Source organism: Homo sapiens, chromosome 11 (assembly GCF_000001405.40).
Source record: "Homo sapiens chromosome 11, GRCh38.p14 Primary Assembly".
Taxonomy (NCBI): Eukaryota; Metazoa; Chordata; class Mammalia; order Primates; family Hominidae; genus Homo; species Homo sapiens.
In genome coordinates this window covers 44741748-44757652 of record NC_000011.10, presented here as the reverse complement: position 1 = coordinate 44757652, position 15905 = coordinate 44741748, and the positions used below count along the sequence as shown (strand labels likewise).

The window sequence follows — 15905 nt, the reverse complement described above, 5'->3', positions numbered from 1 at the left end:
AGCACTTTGGGAGGAAGAGATGGGCAGATCTCTTGAGCCCAAGAGTCCAAGACCCACCTGGGCAACATAGCAAAACTCTGTCTCTACAAAAAATACAAAAAGTCAGCTGGGCATGGTGGCACATGCCTGTAGTCTCAGTTCCTTGGGTGGCTGAGGCAAGATGATCACTTAAGTATGAGAGAAAGAGGCTGCAGTGAGCCAAGATCACACCACTGCACTCCAACCTGGGCAACAGAATGAGACCCTGTCTCAAATAAATAAATAAATAAATAAATAATCATTTCTCAGCTTTCTGGCTAAGATCAAGTGTAAACAAATAAATAAAACTGCAGTGAGATACAACTTCACACCCACTGGCATGGCTACTATAAAAAAAAATAAAAAATAAAAAATAACAAGTGTTGGCTAGGATGTGAAGGAACTTGAACCCTGTTCCCACTGTTGGTGGGAATGTAAAATGGTACAACCACTGTAGAAAACGGTATGACAGTTCCTCAAAAAATTAAAAATAGAATTACCATGTGATCCAGCAATTCCACTTCTAGGTATATACCCAAAAGAAAAAGCATTTGACAAATTCAACATCCTTTTATAATAAAAACATTCAACTAAAAATACAAGAAAATTATCTCAAAACTGTAAAAGTCATATATGAAAAACCCACAGCAAACAGCAAACATCGTAGTCAATGGTGAAAGACCAAAAGCTTTTCTTCTAAGATCAGGAACAAGACAGTAGGAAAAGAAAGTAGGGTCTCAAAGAGATATTTGTACACTCATATTCAGAGTAGGATTATTCACAACAGCTAAAACATGCAAATAACTCAAGTGTCCATCAACAGATGAATGGATAAGCAAAATGTGGTCTATCTACACAATGGAGTATTAGTGAACCTTAAAAAAGAAGGAAATTCTGACACGCTGCAACATAGATGAACCTTGAAAATGCTATGCTAAATTTTAGAAAGCCAGTCACAAAAGACAAATACTGCATGATTCCACTTACATGAAACATGTAGAATAGTTAAAATCACAGAGACCAGAAATAGAATGGAGGTTACCAGGGGCTGGGAGGAGAGGAAAATGGGAAGAATTATTGCTTAATGGATATAGATTTTCCATTTTACAAAATAAAAAGAGTTATGGAGATGGATGGCATGGACGGTTGCACAACATTATGAATGTATTTAAAATAACTGAACTGTGTACTTAAAAATGGCCGAGATGGTAAATTTTATGTTGTATTTTATGACAACTAAAAAAAAATGGGGAAAAAAAGGGAGTAGCTATGATTCATGATTCCAAGTTATTCTCCTGGGAACCCTTCCCTCCCTCCCTCCCTCCCTCCTTTTTGTTCTCACAAAGAACAGATGGGGGCTACACCCCTCCACACACACACAACACACTTAATTCACAACAATTGGACTTCACAATAATTTATATATTAACTTTCCAGATAACATTGAAGACCACTGGTTTAGAGTCTCCTGTTGTCCTAGAATCCCAAGTCAGTCGGATTTCAGAGGAGGAAGAGAGCCAGGAAGACTTCCTGGAAGAGGCAGCAAGGAACAAAGGAAGAGAGAGAGTTGACCAACCCAGTGATAAGCCTTTCCCTGGTTAGCTTCTGTTGGCAAACTCTCTCTCCATCTCCCTCTTCCCTCCTCCATCTCTCTCTCCATCTCTCTTTCCCTCTCTCTCCATTTCTCTCTCTGTCTCCCCTTCTCCCCACCCTGGCTCTGTACTCCCAACCCTAGTCACCCTACATCTCTTCCTGGCTCCTAGGAGAAATAGCCACCCTTCTGAGTCCCGAGGCCATAAGAATTTGGCCTTATGCCCCAAGAAGGAGCAGCGTCCTCAGGGAGACCCTGGATGCCAGCTCAGCCTCAGACCTCGTCTCCCAAGCCGATGCCAGGCCACAGGATCCAGGCTGGGCCACTGCCAGCCTGATGCATTGCTTGTTGACAGATAAAAGCTCTGCAATTTATGGCTCCAAAGCAAAGCCAGGGCTTTGTTTTGCTTTGTTTTAAATTAGCTACATAGGGGGTTGGTGTGGGGGCAGGGGAGAGGGAGGAGAGCCAAGGCATGCTCAGGATGTCTTGGGGCTGCGTCCCCAGCTCAGCAAACCCCAGGGCAGCCCTTAATGAAGCCACCTGAGCGCTGAGAACCTTGCAGTGTCTGCCGGGCTCTCCACCTGCACTTGTCTGGCTGGGGGAGGGAAGCGCTTCCCACCTGCTCGTCCTGTCACTGGGCCCAGCACCCTTTGTTCCCAGAATGAGTCCCAATCAGCCTGGTTAATTGTGCCTCAGGGTCTCAGTGGGGCTGAAGTGAAACCATGACATCCTCAGAAAGATGGGGATCTATTCCTGCTCAGAAAGAGGAGGCTGTTCCTTACTGTACTTGACACAGTGCAGCAGGCTCTGGGCACTGCCAGCAAGGGGCCCCAAGGGTCTACCCAGAAGCATGGGCCTTCCGATCTGAGCCCATTAGCTCTTGGTGGGATGAGGAGGGTGGAAGGGCCAGGGAGGGAGGGAATGTCCCAATCCCCATAAATGATTGCCTGAGACTGTTTATTCTCAATGCAACTGCTGTTAAGAATCATTTCCCCTCACGCCTCCCATCTGGTCTGGGGCTTTTCTGCAGACAGCACATGCCAGCCAGGGTCTCTGTGTGCCCTCCTGTGTAGGACCTGCCATAGACAGACACAGCCGCACTGGTCAACTGAGTAGGAAAGAGCATGTGTAGCCTGTGGCAGCCCAAAACCTCTTGCCATCGGTGGGCATTGTCCCACATCTGCTCCCTCTTTGTGCTGTCTGAAAGCACTTTCTCATCACTTCAAGGAGGTAAGGACAAGGACTATCCACTGGACCTCCCTTTTCATCTAAACTGCACTCTTCTTTCTCCTACACCGCACAGCTCAGAGGAGTCAGGCATCTTAACCACAGTCACAGAGCCAAAGCTGCCCAAGCCACGGCACTCATTAACTCCAGCCTGCATTAGAGGCCAGGTGTGGCCAACACCATAGTATTAATCCTCTCAAGGATACATCTGAGATCTTACATCTTGGGTCATTGGGCTGTTTGAGCAAAGATACCAGGCTTTCAAAGGTTACAAGCACAGCCAGTGCTTTGGCACATGGTTCAAGAAGAACAGAGACTGTCTCAGTGCTGAAGTTGGCTTTGGTATGAATTGTGTCTCAACATGTTCCAGACCCTGAACTCCACGTGGATGCAATGTGCAGTATTAAACACACAGGAACGCATGCCCAAGGATAGTCTGCCTCGGAGAGAAGCAGTATTAAAAAGCCACACGCCAGTAATAGAGATGTTTCTAAACTGGCCACCCTGCAGCTAGCAAGGAAGCTGAAGGCCGCAACTGGGGCTATTAATTCAGACTTTATAACCCACAGGGCTGCAGCGGAATACTGGGAAAACTGCACCCCAACTCTTTGTAATGCTTCCCTGCTCAAGTCCATGTAAATATATTCTAATGCAGAAAAGGTCCGCAGGAGGCAAGACCACAGAGTCATTAGCATTTTGATGGCTTTTCCCAGCACATGGAACCAGAGAGCTTTAAAATTCATAGCGTGGAGATTAATCCTTCAAGTCACACTTGTCCCTCCTAAGCTTTAGGAGGCCAAGAACTTTTTACCCCTTTAAGACCTTGATTAGCAAAGAAAGTTAGAAAACCAGAGAGCTCGGTCAAGGGAGTCCTAGTGAAAAGACGCATGACTGGTTTTCTAGACTAAGTGTGTTGCGTCCAAATACAATTAAATGGCAGAATTAGAGATGGGAGTAGTGGATAGGCTGTCACCCTGCATGAGAGGTGGGAGCTGCTTTGACTCAAATACTCCAGAAGAGGAGTCCCTGCCGATCCCTAACAGCACAGCTCATCCTTTTGTAACTGACGAAAGCCAGGCTTCTTAAAATCCATGTGTATTCACTCAGCAAGCCACACTGAAGTCGATCACTATGTGCTCACATAATAGATGCTTGGGACGATGGGATCAGGAAGCCAGTTCAGCTCAGCAAATCCATGATCTCAAAAAACTCAGTTCGAATGGAGAAAGAGACAGGGAAATTGGAGATTACAATAAAATGTGAGGGTGGCAGCGGCGAGTCCAGCTACCCTGGGACCCCCAGGAAGATGCTGGGGGCACCCACAGAGGGTGAGTCAAGCTGGGTTTATGAGCAGATCAAAACTTTCTTTTGAAAATGGATGCGCTGGCTGAGTGCGGTGGCTCAAACGCCTGTAATCCCAGCACTTTGGGAGGCTGAGGCGGGCGGATCGTGAGGTCAGGAGATCAAGACCATCCTGGCCAACATGGTGAAACCCTGTCTCTACTAAAAATACAAAAATTAGCTGGGTGTGGTGGTGGTGCATGCCTGTAATCCCAGCTACTCGGGAGGTTGAGGCAGGAGAATCGCTTGAACCAGGGAGTCGGAGGTTGCAGTGAGCCGAGATGGCACCACTGCACTCCAGCCTGAGTGATAGAGTAAGACTCTGTCTCAAAAAGAAAAGAAAATGGATGCGCTATAATATCAAGTGAGAAAGGTGAGGTCCGCAGTGTTTTCTAGCATGTGATCAAAAAGAATATATGGATACTGTTAAGAAAAGTCATCTGTAATGTGGCAAAAGGCAAAGAGAGGTCTGTGTCATTTCAACCTCATATTGGAGTACTGTTTAGCAAGCCTACCCAAGAATCCTGTAATTACCCAGGGGATTCTAGAGGAATGTAACTTTGTATAAAGTTACACATGAACTTGTAGATTTTTTTGGCTAGTAAAACAGATAAACCCCAAGGTTATGGTTTTCTGCCTTATAGGGCATTAACCAGTTTTATATCCAATCCAGCCATCATATTCAGGCATTCTTTCTCCAATGCCTACATAATCACTGTTCCTTGAATTCTCCTGAGAGCTAGCTTTTCCATCTTGCTGGCCTCCTCATTAAATCAATCTTTGACTCATGTTCATTCTAGATTTATGAGAATCATGGCTTTATTGTTTAAATTATACTGACAATACATACTCATTTATATAGAGATATATGTATGCATACATGTGCACGTGCACACACACACACACACAAACTGTCAAAGAAATGAAATTTCAACAAATTGAGTTGTAAAGATCTCATTTGTTTTTATTGTGATTCATGAATTGGGCAGCATCCCATCTACAAAACAGAAAGGTGCTCTGTTGCCAAGATAGAGTCACTGCGCTTCAGCCTGGGCAACAGAGTGAGACCCTGTGTCAAAAAAAAAAGAAAGAAAGAAAGTTGTTCTGCTGAGCTGAATAGAAGGGATGGGCTTTATAGACAGGAAAAGGCTAAAGAAGGCAGAAACAAAGAACAAAATGTGGATTGGTCATTTAAAGTCACTTTCCTTGTATCGGTTAAAACAGAGAGGACTTCATCACATCAGCTAAAACTAGCCTGTTTTGGAGATTTAGCTATCATCTTCCTCCTGATTTCCTGGAAGGTCAGATCTTACAAGTAAACAATTTAGGTTTTAGTTTGATAATGTGACACTTCAGCTTGAATGACTCCATTTTGGGTTGGTGTGTTGGGGCCTAGTGCTAGAGTTCAGTCCAAAACACTGGCTTCTCATATATTTTACTTAACAACATGCAAACATACACAACACACAGGGAAAAAACTGGGAAGAAACATACGCAAAATATTAGCTTTAGGTAGCTGAGATATATATGACTTCTTTTTTTTTTTTTTGAGATGGAGTCCTGCTCTGTCACCCAGGCTGGAGTGCGGTGGTGTGATCTTGACTCATTGAAACCTCCGCCTCCCAGGTTCAAGGGATTCTCCTGCCTCAGCTTCCTGAGTAGCTGGGATTACAGGCACCTGCCATCATGTCCAAATAATTTTTGTATTTTTAGTAGAGATGGGGCTTTACCACGTTGGCCAGGCTGGTCTTGAACTCCTGACCTCAAGTGACCTCAACTCCTGACCCACCTTGGCCTCCCAAAGTGCTGGGATTACAGGTGTGAGCCACTGCACCAGCCTTATATGTGACTTTTATAATCAGAGAAAGTGATAAACATTATTATTTAAACGCAGAAACAATCGCACTCCCTTCTAAGATGCCCTAAAGTAACAGGTAATGCAAACTGCCTGCTGACTCCATCAGGCACTTCCTAAGCATGTATGCTGTGGATTGTCACATTAGGACCTCACCACCACACTGTGAGAAAGGTACTGTTACTATCCCCATTCTACAAGCACAAGCAGTTAGCCAAAGATCACAGATTCATGCAGTAAGAGCCAGCATCTGAACCCCAGGCAGCCTGGCCCTGGAGCCTGTCTGTCTCCCAAGTAGAAAAGGAAGAAATGAAATCTGCCAGGCTGCCAGGGTCAGGCTTGGAGAAGACTGTGTTCTCCACCCACTCCCAGAACACAAAGTGTGCAGGGAGCCAAGCACGAGCCTCGCCAGCCTTGAATTGAATTCACATGTGTTTCTTCCACACTTGCTGGCAGGCACCAGGTCTTCTCTGTTCCTGAACCTCCCATCACTCAGGGACAGCCGGACACACCTTGGGTGATCTCTACCTGCTCTGATAGTATTGCCCATTTACGTGCCCTAAAAGTCATCCTCTAATTAACAGCTCACTCCCTCTCTCTCTTTGGCCACACTAAAGAATTGGTTTATTACCTCCATAATAAAGCAAAGGGCAGCCTGCTTTCAGCAAAGAAATGGTTCAGTGTGTTGGAAAGGGCCCCAGCCTAGGAACCCTAGAGGATGAGGGCACTGCCTGTAAGTCACTGTGTGACCTTGGGCAAGTCACCAAGCCTCTCTGAGTCACTTCACCTTGCCCTTAAACATCCAATGTCCCAGATGTCTTGCAAGCATCCATCTTTCTTTCGCTGCTCCTCATCCTAGCTGGGATGTTTCACATGCAGCTGGCATAGAGCCCACTCCAGGGATCTCGCCTATTGATTCTCACTAAAGCTCTTCATGTAGCTGGTCACTGCTGGCTAAATCCATGTGGAAATTAGGTTTTGAAGGAGGAAGACCACGTGGTCTAGAACACCAAATTGATGTGGGGGCTGCAAAAGGGGGGATGTGGGAAGTGGAGGGAGATGTTGCATTCAAATAGGACTCTTAAGATCCCCTACATACCGCCTCATGTGGGGATTCACTCTGGTCACAATTTTTATTCATTTATTTTGTCAAATACATTTTCCTGGGTCTCCAAACACCTGCAGACTCAGGCAGGATTATTTGGGTAAATACAGTGTTTCAAAAGCTTCCAAATAAAAAGCCCCATTTTCCTTGCTTTAACAATAAATATCCATCCAGCCTTTATCTATGGCTATGAGGAAGGCAGGAGAGGGAATAATTCAGAAATGTCAGCTGCTAAGTAAGTGTCAATATTGAAAGACATATCTCTAGGTGATTAATTAAGATCGATGGCCAAAAGAAACACAGGAAAGCCCTCTTATAAAAAAGGAAAACGATGCTGCTAATGAAAATAATTCTAACTGAGTGCCTGCTTCAGGTTCCTGGGTGAGTTACTGCCCCTTTCTGGGTCTCAATTTCATCATCTGTCCCCTGATGGCCTGTGGTTTTCAAAATGGGTTCCCCAAGGATTCCCTAGGAGATATCAAAGTGAGGAGGTGAGTTGGGGAGGGTGGAGCAGCCCCCATGCCTGCTTCAACAGGGCAGCTCCATTTTGAGCAATTTCACATTTGAAAGTTCCACATGGAGCCGGGTGCAGTGGCTCACGCCTGTAATCCCAGCACTTTGGGAGGCCAAGGCGGGTGGATCACGAGGTCAGGAGATGGAGGCCACCCTGGCTAACACGGTGAAACCCCGTCTCTACTAAAAATACAAAAAATTAGCCGGGCATGGTAGCGGGCACCTGTAGTCCCAGCTACTCAGGAGGCTGAGGCAGGAGAATGGTGTGAACCCGGGAGGCAGAGTTTGCAGTGAGCCGAGATCGCGCCACTGCACTCCAGCCTGGGCAACAGAGTGAGACTCCAACTCAAAAAAAAAAAAAAAAAAAAAAGAAAGTTCCACGTTCTGTGGCTACAAGTAAAGTTGAATACCACTGCAGTAAATCATCCTTCATTCATTCCACTTTAGTGCTTGAAGTGCAATCCCCAAGACACTCTGGTGGCCAAATGGGATTTATACAAAGGCATCATGATGACCCTTGTGCAATGTCACTTGGGAATGAATCCTTCTAACTCCAGGGTGGGGCCCTGTATGCCAGGTAGCAAGCCCACATGCCTAGCAAAAAAGTTTGCCAAGGCAAATCAGAAAACCACAAAAAGAGCTGACATATGGAAGCACTCACATTGTCCCAGGCAGTTTACCTCCCTCATGCCTCCCAGCAATCTTGAGCAACAGGTTTTAGTTTTCTCTCCATTTCGCAAATGGGGAACCTGAGCATCAGAGGATAAGAGACTCGCTCAAGGCTCATAATAAATTAATAGCAGAGCAAGATTAAAACTCAAGCCTTTCATCTTGAAATCCTGTGTCTTTCCACTCCACCTTGACATAGGGCCACTCAAGACTGCAGGGTGTGGTGGTCAAAAGCTTAGCTCAAGAACCAGAGCACCCAGGTGCAGATCCAGCTCTGCCAGACATGCAGTATGATGCTGGGCCAGGTACTTACCTAGCCTCACCATGCACCAGTCTTATCATCCCAAAAATGGGAATGGATCCACACTTAACCTGTAGGGTTGTTGCAAGGATTCAACAGGGCGGTACACACAATGTGGTACGCTCTCAATACATTCTAGCTCTCTGTCCCTGGAAGTGGGTGGGAGGAGGGATACACACCAAAAGGAAGTGGATCCTTCTGGTGGATGTGGTGCAGGAAACGCAAAATCTTTGTCTTGATTTCCGCCGCCCCTCCCCCATTCACAGTGGCAACTTGACCGCTGCCTCTGTTTCCCTAAGTCATCTCTGCTGGTGCATGAGGAGGAAATGAGAAGAATAAAAGTGCGGTGCTATGACACTGTGGCTTCTCTAAAGTGAAGAGTAAATCACGATCTTGAACTTTCCATTTTCTCCTGACTTGTGTTAATTTCTAGCTTGAAATCAAGCAATGTCTCCTCAGTACCAGGAAAAGGCTAAAATACTGATATAATTCCAGGTTGGCACACGGTCTGCCTAATGAGATCCAGTCCACTCACTGGCAGAGTCATGGAATTTAAGATGTAGTAAGAATCTTATCTCAGATCATCTGAAATACTGTGGAAGAAAGTGATGGTCTCTTTTTTTTTTTTTTCTTTTGAGAAAGGGTCTCACTCTGTCACCCAGGCTGGAGTGCAGTGGTGCAATCTCAACTCATTGCAACCGCCGCCTCTGGGGTTCAGGAAATTCTTGTGCCTCAGCCTCCCAAGTAGCTGGGATTACAGGCGTGCCCAGCTAATTTCTGTATTTTTAGTAAAGATGGTGTTTCACCATGTTGGCCAGGCTGGCTTCGAACTCCTGGCCTCAAGTGATCTGTCTGCCTTGGCCTCTCAAAGTGCTGAGATTACAGGTGTGAGCCACCATGCCCGGCCAGAAAATGATGATCTCTCTAAACATAAACCAGTGGTTTGTCTCTTTTGAGAGAAAGGAAACCAGGGCCCAGAGAGGCTGAGTGACTCGGCCCATATCACACAGCCACAGAGCTGGCTAGTAAGAGACAGAGAGAGAACCGAAGTCTTCTGACCCTGCAGCTCTGCTGCAGGTGAGGGAGGGAACTGGGGGGATGAGAGACAGGGAGAGAAGTTTGAGTGTGAGAATGACCACACATACGTGTTTGTGTGTGTGTGTAGTGGAAACAGTGTGAGCCTTTGAGGTAGAAGGAAAAGTATTTGGGCCACTGGAAGTTCCACCTGCACTTTGAGTGTGGAAAGATGAGAGTGAGCAAGTGTGAAGGTAGCGTGTGAGTGTGCATGAGGAGATGAGTGCAGGAGTGAGGAAATCTGAGTGCTGAGAGAGAGACGGGAGGGGGGAGGAGAAACATTTGGGCCATTTTCAAATTCCCACAGTAGAATAAATCAAAACAGATTGTTCTGAGACACAGGCAATTTCAAACCACATCCTTTATACCAAAGTCGACCCAAATGGCTTCCCCTGATGCTGCCTCATAACCAGTCGTAATGGCAACCGTCATATTCACGATCATATTTAAGATTCCTGAGCAGCTCAGTACAAACCAGGCTCAGTACAAACAGTCCCTCCTCATAGCAGCCCTAAGAGGCCTCTATGATTCACGCCCATTTTCCAGATAAGCCTACTGAGTCTTAGAGGAGGGAAGTCCCTTGGTCCCCACATCTCCCTGCCCAAGGGATATCTGGGATTAAATAAAAAGTCGAGAAGGCAGCTGAGATCCAAGCAACGAGCTCCTTGCTGAAGTTCTGTGCCCCAGAGAGCTGCCTCTTTTAGGCAGGGCTGCTCCTGGCTGCTGCAGGCAGGATGGAGAAAAGATGCCAGGGAGCTGGCATGTTCCTAGGTGCCAGCTGCCCCACAAGGCAAAGCAGATGCTCGCCTGTGAGAGGGCCTGGCGCTGTGACCAGCAGAATTAGCTGCTGGGAGCTGCAGCCACCACCTCGCCTGGGCCTCTAGCCCTGACCAGTCAGAGAAAGGCCCCGTTTTTCAATGCCAGCTGGCTGGGGACACAGGGCTGGGCCAGCGAGGAGGGAACCGCCAGGGCCCCAAGAATGGGTTTCCCACATCTCACCCTGACATGAGCAATGGGAAGGCTGGGTCCAGGCGACTACTCCCTAAGAACTGAGTCTCCCTTCCTGATAGGCACAAGGGGTAGCACCAGGCAAGCAGTGGGGGAAGTGGGCAAATGAAGCTCTGCTGAGCATCTCTGCTGCCCAGGCACACCGTGTATTTTCTAATCATAATCTTGTCCTAACCCCAAAATAATTATTTTTTGAGAGAGGGTCTCATTCTGTTGCCCAGGCTGGAGTGCAGTAGTACAATCATAGCTCACTGCAGCTTCTAACTCCTCGGCTCAAGCAATCCTCTCGCCTCAGCCTCCCAAGTAGCTGGGACTACAGGCATGCACCACCATCTGCAGCTAATTTTTATTTTTTTATTTTTTGTAGAGAGGGCCCCCGATGTTGTCCAGGCTGCTCTTGAACTCCTGGCCTCAAACAATCCTTCTGCCTCACCTCTCAAAGTGTTAGGATTACAGGCATGAGCTACTGCTTCTTGGCAAAACAATATTTTGGTGTGGGTACTACACTCCTTGCTTTACAAGTGGGTAAATTGAGGCTCAGAGAAGCTGAATAACTCACCCCAAATCACCAAGATAGTAAATTTAGGTGGAGTCAGGATTGAACCCCAGCATGACCAGGAGACGTCTGTTCCCTTCTAACTCACCCAACACTCATCTGCAAAGACTCCCTGACAGAGGCTGGGAGTCCCAGAGAGAAGCATTTGTCTTGGGTCTCATACTCAAACCCCAACAGGAACTCTGAACCAAAACAGAAGAGAGCAACGTGCCCCACCCACGGGGGGCAGCTGCTGCTTATCCCCAGCCCATATTTGCCACCAGACCATGCCATGTGTCAAGGAAACCAGAAATCTGGAGTTTTATGCACCTTCTCTCACTTTTTCAACTGATTAGAATCAGCTTTGCTGTTTTTTGTTCTTTGTTTTTGAGATGGACTCTCGCTCTGTCGCCCAGGCTGGAGTGCAGTGGCACGATCTGGGCTCACTGCAAGCTCTGCCTCCCGGGTTCAGGCCATTCTCCTGCCTCAGCCTCCCAAGTAGCTGGGACTACAGGCGCCTGCAACCACGCCCGGCTAATTTTTTGTATTTTTAGTAGAGACGGGGTTTCACCGTGTTAGCCAGGAGGGTCTCGATCTCCTGACCTCGTGATCCACCCGCCTCGGCCTCCCAAAGTGCTGGGATTACAGGCGTGAGCCACCGCGCCCAGCCATGTTTTTTGTTTTTTAATAGAATTTTTTTCGTTGAAGTATAACAGAGAGGGAACAGTACACAGATCTGAAGTGTACTGCTCAATGAATATTCACAAACTGAGCATACCTATGTTCCCACCAGCCAGGATGAGAAGATGAACACACCAGCACCCAGAAGTACCTCGTGCCCCTTCTGGACACCCCCCAACTCATGCCCAAAGGTCATCACTGTTGTGACTTTGACTCCCTTAGATTCTCTTGCTGACTTTGAACTTTATATAAGTAGAATCATACATGCCATCATTTTGTATCCTTGGCCTGTTCACTTCATTTATTTTAGCCACTGGTCAGACCATCTTCTCTGTGAGCTCATTAGAGCCTCAGGGCTCCAGTGCTGTGCAGTGAGGAAAACCCTACTCTCTACTGATGAGTGAATTGGAGCCTGAATAGGTTGTCAGTGGTTATACTTACTGTTTCTCCACCAGGATGAAATTATATTAAAATCACTTGAATGGCCTCTTCAAAATACACATGCTCAGCAATGCACTAGCTCAACTGTACAGTACCAACCAGACTTCCTGAAGAAGAAAGATGCCCACGCATGATTATTTTATGATTATTTTGAAATCCAGCCCCATATTGGACCCTCACCTTAGGTCATATAGCAACAAAGCCAGTGACAGGGCATTCAAGTGCCCCAGTCCCTATGCTCTATACCCAGCACCCCAAAGTTCCCCACATCTATTCCCCATCTATTCTTTGCTAGCATTCCACCCTCCTCCAACCATGACAGACGTCAATAATTGATCTTGGCACTCCTTCCTGCTGAGCCTGGGTAAAACAGGCTCATCCACCCTTCAGCTGCACTCAGGCAGGCCCTACAAATCGATCAGCGTTGGCATTTGCGATGAAAAGTGTCTGCCATCCAGGTACTACCACACCATGCTACCCCTGCTCTTTGGAAGTCCTTGCTACTTTCTTAAGCAGCCCAGCCTTCTCATACCCAGGGTGACTATAAGAGAAGCAGGGAAAGAACCAAATCCACTCCTGACCCCATTCTTCGGCTTATTTGATTCTATTTCCCACACCAACCCTGCAAAGCTAGCTGTGAAGATAATTTATCCCAACCCTGGCTTGTTTCTGTTTGTGCATTAGGTTTGGGTTTTTTGCCCTGGTTTTTATAGATGGCAAACAGGCCCGGAGAGGGGTACTGCCTTGTCTAAGGTCACATGATGAGTCCTGGTCAAAGCTAGAACTTGAAGCTACCCCCCCATTTCTAAGCCAGAGCTCTCTCTCCCCACTCCATGGAGTTTCTTGCAACCAATTAGGAACCACTGGGAAGGCCAGAAACATGACGGTAACCTCATTCATCTGAAACCAATCACATCTGTTTCACTTCTTTCCAGCTAAGCAGTAAACAGTGGAGACAGAGCCCAGGCTGAGACAAGACTGCAGTCCAGAGCAGATGTTCCCCTGTTGATCTCTGGGCTAGAAGAAAGAGGTTTTCTCGAAAGCAACTGAGATTGGTGATCTGACATCCCTGAAAATTGGCCTTTTCCGAAGCGATAATACACGCAAACCCAGGGAGGAGGCCCCACTGTGGAGGTGTTTCCAGCAGCAGCCCAGGAGGCCTCTGTTGTCTCACTGCTTTCTGTCTTTATTAACATTTGCAGAAAAACTCACAGTGCATTTTGCTGCAAATGAAAACCAAGCAATCTCATTTTCTCCCCTCAACCAGGCCAGATGGCTCCTTCTTGCTCTTTTCCCCTCACTCATACTGGAAATTAAAAAACAAAAATAACTAAAATAAAATATCTAAAAATTCCCTAACAGCTGCAAATCTGCCTTTCTGAGGGCATTTTCAGCAAAATGTACCCCAAACCGGGTACTCGGATGGTGTTACAACGCCATTTCCTCCATCAGGATCAGTTTTATCTTCATCTCTGAAGTCTTTTCCTTCTATGGAGCTCTGGGCCCAAGGAAGGCACCTGGCATGCCCATCCACAACCAGGAAGTAAGGCAGGACTCCAGCAACACAGAAACTCCCGAAAGGGCTGCAAGCCTTGGGAGTCTGCGTGTTGCTCTCAGAGGTGGCAGAACAGGGGTGGCGGGAAATGCCCAAGGGCAACTTGAAAGCTGGAGATTTCCTAGCTCGGAGCACACATCTTCCCACGAGGCCTCAAACTTCCGAGGACTCGGCTGTTCCTGCAGAAGCCCCACCAGCGCCATTCTCGGCTTCTCCCCAATCACTTGCCTGCTGTTGTCCCATGTCACATGGAAGGACAAGGATGCCCCAAGACGTAATCAGCCCAAGGTCACACAAACCAGAGAGAGACAGGGCTGGAATGCATCCATGATGTCCTAAGCCTAGGCCTCGGCTCTAACCACTGCACCCCACGGCTCTTTCCATTGCCCACTGAACTGGCAGAAGCACTTGGTCTGATCCTGCTGCTCTTCACCCCAAAGACATTGTCATGCTCTGCCTTTAATGTCACACTTTTCCTGACGCAAACCTTGGTGATGGCTTAAGGCCATCACCAAGTTCAGGGCCTGACAGAACCCATCTGAGTGCATTCGTATGTGCCCAGATGCATCACCGGCTACTGCATTTTTAGGGGGAAGTGCTGCTTTTGTTGACAGCTTCCCCTAACCAACAGGAGAGGCAGGCAGGCAGAGGTGACTCAGGAAGATGGTCTGCCGGTCCCCAGGGGAGGACTCTTAGAAGGATATTTCCTAAGAAGCCTCCATGTATTGATGCATAATTCAGCCCTGGGGAATCAGGCAGCATCCAGGAGTATGAGAGCAGATGCCAGCCCCCCCATGAAGCTGTCCCTCTGCAGATCCAAGACAAGGAGGCCCTGGCCTGGTGGGTCCATCCATGTCCTCAGCCAAGGCCCCAGCCAGGGCCCATAAGAAAGGGTCTCTGTCAATGGGAGAGTGGATGGCAGGAAAGGATGAGGAGTCGGGTGCTGGAGAGGCCATCTCCTCCCACCCTCTTGCTCTCTTTGCATTAGCGGTACCAAGCCTGAGTCAGCACGCTGGGGGCAGGGGCTCCTCCAAGCGAGAACAGGGGAGCAGAAACACTCTGTGTCCTCAACTGGCCTCTGAGAGAGGGACAGAGCAGGCCCGAGACAAGGAAGAAGCTTGAGACACGAGAAGTGAACAAGAGGAGTCTGAGTCAGGGACCTGGGAGAGCTCCTATGGCGGGTATGGCCGAGCAGGTTCTAAGACAGACCAGTCCACTGTGCACTGCTGGGCTGGATGACTATGCCACTACCTTCTGGATGGATGACCCTCAGCTTCAAACCTTCGGCAAAAGTCTAGTGCACACAATGCAAGGGAGGGAGGAAGGAAGGGAGGGAAGGAACGAAGAAAAGAAAAAATGGGGGAGGGAAAGAGGTAAGGAAGGAAGGAGGGAGGGAGGAAAGGAAGGAAGAAAGGAAGAAAGGAAAAAAGGGAGGGAGGGAGGGAGGGAAGAAAGAAGGAAGGGAAAAAGGGAAGGGAAGGGGAGGGGAGGGGTGAGGCAGGCTACAAGAAGCAACACCAAGGACCCTTTCTGCATTCCACATACCTCCCAGGCAAAAATTTCCATACAACGGAAAAGGCCAGGTCTTGCTATGCTTCAGACAAATATTTCCACTTTCTCATACCCCCTCCACCTGCTGGGTGATCTACCCGATTCCATAGCTGCAGCAGGTTTCCATTCTGTAAAATGGAGATAAAAATCCCACTCCGGTTGGATTGCTGGGCATTGAATGAGCTACAACGTATATGGGTCTGGTGTGTATATGGAAAAACTCTGCTGTTTCTGGAGAGGCAAAGGAAAAAAAGGGAAGGGAGTGGGGAGAGAGCAGAGAGAGGAGAGGAAGGAGAAGGGTGCAGAGGGGAGGGGAGGGGCCAACCTGGCAGGTCGTTCCCATGCCCAGCACCAGGCTAGGCACTTGATCTTGTTTTTGCTGTCCCTTTTTTCTAGATGAGGAAACTAACGTTCAGAGGGAATAAATAACTTGCCAAAGG

At 47.6% G+C, this 15905-nt stretch overlaps 1 protein-coding gene across 7 annotated transcripts in view, besides 5 other annotated features; it reads right to left on the bottom strand.

The window, feature by feature from the left end:
- TSPAN18 (tetraspanin 18) overlaps window positions 1–15905 on the bottom strand; it is a 206114-nt gene that overhangs the window by 174771 nt on the left and 15438 nt on the right. The gene's annotated exons all lie outside the window — the stretch shown is intronic.
- Window positions 3144–3950: an enhancer, noted in NCBI's record as "OCT4-NANOG-H3K27ac-H3K4me1 hESC enhancer chr11:44775253-44776059 (GRCh37/hg19 assembly coordinates)". NCBI's record gives its function as "activates a minimal SCP1, AML or CMV promoter by ChIP-STARR-seq in primed H9 embryonic stem cells {active_cell/tissue: H9 hESC(primed)}" and the evidence as "EXISTENCE:reporter gene assay evidence [ECO:0000049][PMID:30033119]".
- Window positions 3951–4759: an enhancer, noted in NCBI's record as "OCT4-NANOG-H3K27ac-H3K4me1 hESC enhancer chr11:44774444-44775252 (GRCh37/hg19 assembly coordinates)". NCBI's record gives its function as "activates a minimal SCP1, AML or CMV promoter by ChIP-STARR-seq in naive H9 embryonic stem cells {active_cell/tissue: H9 hESC(naive)}" and the evidence as "EXISTENCE:reporter gene assay evidence [ECO:0000049][PMID:30033119]".
- Window positions 7773–8274: an enhancer, noted in NCBI's record as "H3K4me1 hESC enhancer chr11:44770929-44771430 (GRCh37/hg19 assembly coordinates)". NCBI's record gives its function as "activates a minimal SCP1, AML or CMV promoter by ChIP-STARR-seq in naive H9 embryonic stem cells {active_cell/tissue: H9 hESC(naive)}" and the evidence as "EXISTENCE:reporter gene assay evidence [ECO:0000049][PMID:30033119]".
- Window positions 14175–14870: an enhancer, noted in NCBI's record as "H3K27ac-H3K4me1 hESC enhancer chr11:44764333-44765028 (GRCh37/hg19 assembly coordinates)". NCBI's record gives its function as "activates a minimal SCP1, AML or CMV promoter by ChIP-STARR-seq in naive H9 embryonic stem cells {active_cell/tissue: H9 hESC(naive)}" and the evidence as "EXISTENCE:reporter gene assay evidence [ECO:0000049][PMID:30033119]".
- Window positions 14871–15566: an enhancer, noted in NCBI's record as "H3K27ac-H3K4me1 hESC enhancer chr11:44763637-44764332 (GRCh37/hg19 assembly coordinates)". NCBI's record gives its function as "activates a minimal SCP1, AML or CMV promoter by ChIP-STARR-seq in naive H9 embryonic stem cells {active_cell/tissue: H9 hESC(naive)}" and the evidence as "EXISTENCE:reporter gene assay evidence [ECO:0000049][PMID:30033119]".